Raw genomic sequence first — 4,490 nt, 5'->3', positions numbered from 1 at the left:
TGCAGCCAACAGACATATGAAAAAATGCTCATCATCACGGGTCATCAGAAAAATGCAAATCAAAACCACAATGAGATAGCATCTCATGCCCGTTAGAATGGCGATCATTAAAAAGTCTTGAAACAACAGATGCTGGAGAGGATATGGAGAAATAGGAATCCTTTTACACTGTTGGAGGCAGTGTAAATTAGTTCAACCATTGTGGAAGACAGTGTGGCAATTCCTCAAGCATCTAGAACTAGAAATACCATTTGACCCTGCAATCCCATGACTGGGTACATACCCAAAGGATTATAAATCATGCTACTATAAAGGCATATGCAAATGTATGTTTATTGCAGCACTATTCACAATAGCAAAGACTTGGAACCAACTCCAATAATAGACTGGTTAAAGAAAATGTGGCACATATACACCATGGAGTGCTATGCAGCCATAATGAAAGGATGAGTTCATGTCCTTTTCAGGGCCGTGGATGAAGCCGGAAACCGTCATTCTCAGCAAAATATCATAAGGACAGAAAACTAAACACATATTCTCATTCACAAGTGGGAATTGAACAATGAGAACACATGGACACAGGGCAGGGAACATCACACATTGGGGCGTGTTGGGGGCTGGGGGGCTGGGCGAGGGATAGTGTTAGCAGAAATATCTAATGTAAATGATGAGTTGATGAGTGCAGTAAACCAACATGGTACATGTATACCTATGTGATAAACCTGCACGTTGTGTACATGCACCTTAGAACTTAAAGTATAATAAAAATAAAAATAAAAGGAAATAGTTTCTAATCATCAACCTCCCTGGGATCATAACTCCGGCTCCTGTGGCATACATGCTAGGGACATGTGACTCTTTCTTCTGCCCTAGGGACACTTCTCTCACATTGTGCTATGTGGTTAGAGACATGCTGGAGTATACAATGCATTCAACATTTCTGATAGGACTAGCATTGACACTTGGATACAAGGTCAAGTGTCCAAAAGTGTCCTTAGAAAATATTACCCAGAAAAAGAACGTAAGTCTCCAAGTTCATAGAGCAGGATGCCCAAACAAAACAAAATTAGCATGATTTTCCTGCCTACCGCTAACTATACTTTTCTTGTAAATAGAATTAAGGCACAAGGTCAAGCCCTGAACATAGTTTTGCAGTAGGCAAAATTGATCCTTTCATCTTAACCCACTAAACTGGGAAAATATATTTGCTTTTATGTTCATATCATAGGCTTCTATTTCTACAGCCTGTGCCAAATGCAAATTAGGAAAGAACAGAGTCAAGCATGGCTGGGCAGGCCGACCTCAGTCTCCTATTTAAGAAGAATGCCTATTGGGGGAAGAGCCGACTGCAGTGTAATGTTGGAGTCAGGTTTCAATGACTGGTATTGATCCTGATTAGTCTGGGGATAATGCCTTGCCTTTCTTTGCGACCTGTTCTTCTGGAAAGGCCAACTTAATCCATTTCGGACAACTTCTTGGCAGGTTTATTTGACATTGACTCCATAAGCATGATACAATTTGAAGAGGAGGGTATGTATGTATGTATGTATGTATTTATTTATTTTGAGATGGAGTCTTGCTCTGTCACCCAGGCTGGAGTGCAATGTCACGATCTCGGCTCACTACAACCTCCACCTCCCAGATTCAAGCAATTCTCCTGCCTCAGCCTCCCGAGTAGCTGGGAATACAGGTGCCTGCCACCACTCCCAGCTAATTTTTGCATTTTTAGTAGAGACGGGTTTCACCATATTGGCCATGTTGGTCTCAAACTCCTGACGTTGTGATCCACCCACCTCAGCCTCCCAAAGTGCTAGGATTACAGGTGTGAGCCACCACGCCTGGCCAGGTCTTTAAATTTTGACCTCCAGATTTGAGTTTTAGTTCTGATGCTTACTACTTGCATTGTGCAAGAAAATTCACTGTTAGTCTCCATTTCTTCATCTTTAACCTGAGGACAATAACATCATCATTAAATGGTTGTAGATATTACCATTTTCCTACTGTATACATTCAAAAGAAGCAGGCTATGTTCTATGGCAGCTGGAGCAAACCATCTTTAGCAGTAGGGGCTCACCCCTGAGTAACTATGAGAAGGAGGAAAAGGAACTTAAAACCTGGAAAGTACTGCTATCAAGGTTGATCAAAAGCCTGTGTCATTGTGAGATGAATGTGTGAGTTTCATTTTATGGAATCTAAACATTTATCAAGCTGCTTATAGCTGTTTTTGAATTTTATTTTACAAATTATTTCTTAGTATTTAGGAATAATCTAAATAGTTTAGAGGCAGATTTCTGATTAATTAAATGAGGTAATAGCTATTTCCACGTGATAGTTAATTTTCATCTATTTGTGAACAGCACCTGCTATAATAAAATTTATTTACAAGTTCTTCTCGTCTCACTCTCTGAGGAGCAGACTTAGGCAATTCTCTTTTGGAGGGTATACAATCTACTTTACACAGGTGGGTTTCTGTAGTCCCATTTTACAGATGAAGGGGTTTATTTTATATTATTTTTTGAGGGAGAGTTTTGCTCTGTCACCCAGGTTGGAGTTCAGTGGTGTTATCACAGCTCACTGTAGACCTCCTAGGCTCAGGATCCTCCCACCTCAGCATCCCGAGTAGCTGGGACTACAGGCATGCACCACTATGCACAGATAATTTTTGCATTTTGTTAAAATAAAGATGAGGTTTCACAGTGTTGCTCAGGCTGGTCTTAAACTCCTGGGCTCAATCAATCCACCTGCCTCAGCCTCCCAAAATGCTAGGATTATGGATGTGAGCTACTGCACCTGGCTTTTTTTTTCTTAAGCAAAATTTACAAATAAAATTGTATATATTTAAAGTGTAGAATGTGATGTTTTGATATACATATACATTGTGAAATGATTACCACAGTCAAGTGAATTAACACATCTACCACCTCATGTTACTCTTTATTTTTATTTTGATAAGAATGCTTTAAGAGCTAATCCTTTAGCAAGTTTCTAGTATGCAATAATACATAATACAGTATTTTAACTATAGTCACCATGTTATACAGTTTTATCAGATGTGCTTCCTAATGCAGTCCTCCTCATATCTGAATAGTGTTTTCCTTTGCTCTAGTTTACTGTGGCCCTGGCTGTCTATCGTAATCTAAAGAACACAGAGTGAGTCTAATGGTAGTCAGGAAGAGTGAATACCCAACATCTAAAGTAAAGTCCAACATGGAGTTGAATGCAGTCTTGGTGTTATTGTTTTTGTACTAACATTTCATTATTATTAGCTGCCCCATCATGACCACATAGTACCCCCCAGGCACAGTGCTAAGTGTGTCAATATCCTTTTAACTACCCTGAGTTCGACATTGCCTTAACTCTAAGGTAAGAATCCTGAAGCTCAGAGGGGATAAGGGGATAATATGCTTGAGGTCACAGACATCAATAACAAAGCTTGAATCTGAACCATAACCTCAAAATCCATGTTAAACTCTAGTGTGAGGTCAGAAATTATTGAGACATTTCTAAACTCAAAATACTGTGAGGTTCTTAATGTGTCCAAATTTGATTTCTCCCATTTTGTCTTCTCAGTCTTATTCAGCACCCTCATTTTTTTATGCTCTAGAAAGAGCATAGGTTGTATGAAGGAGAGTAGTGGAATGGAGTGAAGAGAAAAAAAGAGAAGGATATGTGAACAGAAGCAGCAACAAACCTTAAAACTGGGGGAAATAGATGTGACAGCCTCCAATGACCCCATCTATGTCACTCTTTCCCCTGAGTTTTTCCTGAACCACATTCTGTGTCCTTCAGTTCTTGAAGAATTTTAACCTCAATTTTCATAAAACAACTACCCACCAAGATTTTAACTAATAATAGCTTAAAAGATTTTCTCTCCCCTAAGGGACATTTTCATTTTAATAGAAGACAGTGTGCAGAGTAAAAATACTTTGGGATCAAAGGCAATGAATATTTTATGGTGGGTTTGTGGCACCAAGATAATTTGTGAGGAGGATGTCTCTGGATGGATGGCCAGGATACACAACACTTTTTCTTAATATATTCTTGGCCACTTAGTTTGAATCCTAGACCATAAGCAAAGGAATAAGATTTGAAAAGAAAGAGAAGGAAGAAGAAAGGATGGAAAGGAAAAGTGGGGTCTGACTAGCTTTAAATTCAGTGGTCTGGCTTCCTTTCCTGAAGGTTTTCCAATATCCACAGTTAAGCCACTTTAACTCCATTGGCAAGCTGGGCTCTGCACAAAAATCTAGAACCGATCATACTCTTAACCATTCCTGGAATCCTGGGCTGAGCTGGAGCTCTGCATTTCAGCATCACAGATAATGCACTCTTCGTCCTTTTGCCTGGACCCTCAGCCTATTACCTGTATGTATACGTTTTATATATTTGGGAATCAGGCCAATTTGGATCCCACTGGCACCACTCACTAGCTGAGTGGACTTGAATAAGTTACTTATTTTTTTTTAGCCTCAGCTTTTAGATCACTCTAATAT

This window comes from Homo sapiens, chromosome 18, assembly GCF_000001405.40.
Source record: "Homo sapiens chromosome 18, GRCh38.p14 Primary Assembly".
NCBI lineage: Eukaryota > Metazoa > Chordata > Mammalia > Primates > Hominidae > Homo > Homo sapiens.
The sequence above is the reverse complement of the archived record's forward strand: the minus strand, read 5'-3'. Positions refer to the sequence as shown.